General features: G+C 41.6%; 1 annotated feature.

Moving 5' to 3' along the window:
- Positions 988–1,127: an enhancer, noted in NCBI's record as "active region_6453". NCBI's record gives its function as "activates an Ori minimal core promoter by ATAC-STARR-seq in GM12878 lymphoblastoid cells {active_cell/tissue: GM12878}" and the evidence as "EXISTENCE:reporter gene assay evidence [ECO:0000049][PMID:35858748]".

The following is a 1,513-nucleotide window of genomic DNA, read 5'->3' on the forward strand; positions in this document are numbered from 1 at the left end:
TAATCTGACTATCTTAGTCTGTTTTCTGCTGCTGTAACGTAATACCACAGACTGGATAGTTTATAAAGAATAGGAGTTTATTTTGCTTGTAAGTCTGGAGGCTAGTAAGTCCAAAAGACCATGTTGCCAGTGTCTTGTGAGGGTCTTTGTGCTGTGTTATCCCATAGCATAAGGGCAAGCAAGTCCATGAAACAGAGAAAAAATTAAGCCTATTCTCATGATAACTAATCCGCTCCTGTGACAGTGGCATCAATACATTCATGAGGGCAGAGCCTTCACAATTTAATTGCCCCTGAAAGGTCTCCTCTCTCAATACTGTTATATTGAAAATGAAATTTCGACATGAGTTTTGGAGGGGATATTCAAGTCACATGGCACTGACCATGTGACTCTTTCCCATTTCCTATAGGACAAGAGGCAAACCCCATAGATTAGTGTATAAGATCCTCAATGACATAGACATTTCTCAATGATATGGGTCCTTTCTCAATGATATGGGTCCTTTCTCAATGATATGGACCTTTCATTAATACATCTACTAAATGTGTATTGAGTGGTCCCTGAAACAGGCACTAGAAATGGCCCTGAAGATATTACCATGAAGAGAAAAATATACTCTGGCATTGTAGAGCTAACATGCTAGAGGAGACAGCCAATTTTAAAATATAGACAAGCCAGGCCTGGTGGTGCACACCTGTAGTCCCAGGTACTCAGGAGGCTGAGGCAGGAGGATCCCTTGAGGGCAGGAGTTCGAGGCCACAGTGCTGTAATCACACATATGAATAGCCACTGCACTCCAGCCTACACAACAGAGTGATACACCATCTATAAAATTAAATTAAAATATAGAAAAATTTAAAAGCTTAAATGTGATAAAGGTATTCATCATCTATTTGACATACACATTTTTAGTGTCTACTACTTGCCAGGCACATGCTAGATGCTAAACACGTGGTGATAAGGGAAAAGGACACAATCCTTACTGTTATGGAGCTCATGGGCAGACACTAATACCATAATAACAGTCATGAACAGTATCACAAACTGGCCTAAGGGCTGTTGACCAAAATGAATAAGGGAAGGGATGCTTGATACAAGAACCAAACAATGAGTTAAAAAATTAACTAGGCAGGAGGGAGGAGGGACTGCTGAAAAGAAAGCAAGCATATCAGGAAGAGGAAGACAAGCTCAACAGCACTGAAGCTAAAAGGAGTGAGAGTATGAGGAACTGAAAGAAGATTGTATAGCTAAAACACAGGGTTAAGGGAGGGTAGCATGAGAGGTGGACAGGGGCCAGATCACACAGGGCCTTATGGGCTACAGTAAGGAGTTCAGATTTTGTACCAAAGATAATGGGAATCCACTAAAAGGTTTTAAGCAGTGGGTGAAAGTGGAGAGACAGTTAATGAGGCCCTTGCAGTGGGCCAGGCAGCGGAGGGTCATGATCTGGTCTAGGGTTATGCCAGTGGAGATGAAAGAAATGCATGAAATTAATGAACTGGGAAATAGAGCT

Source organism: Homo sapiens, chromosome 12 (assembly GCF_000001405.40).
Source record: "Homo sapiens chromosome 12, GRCh38.p14 Primary Assembly".
Taxonomy (NCBI): Eukaryota; Metazoa; Chordata; class Mammalia; order Primates; family Hominidae; genus Homo; species Homo sapiens.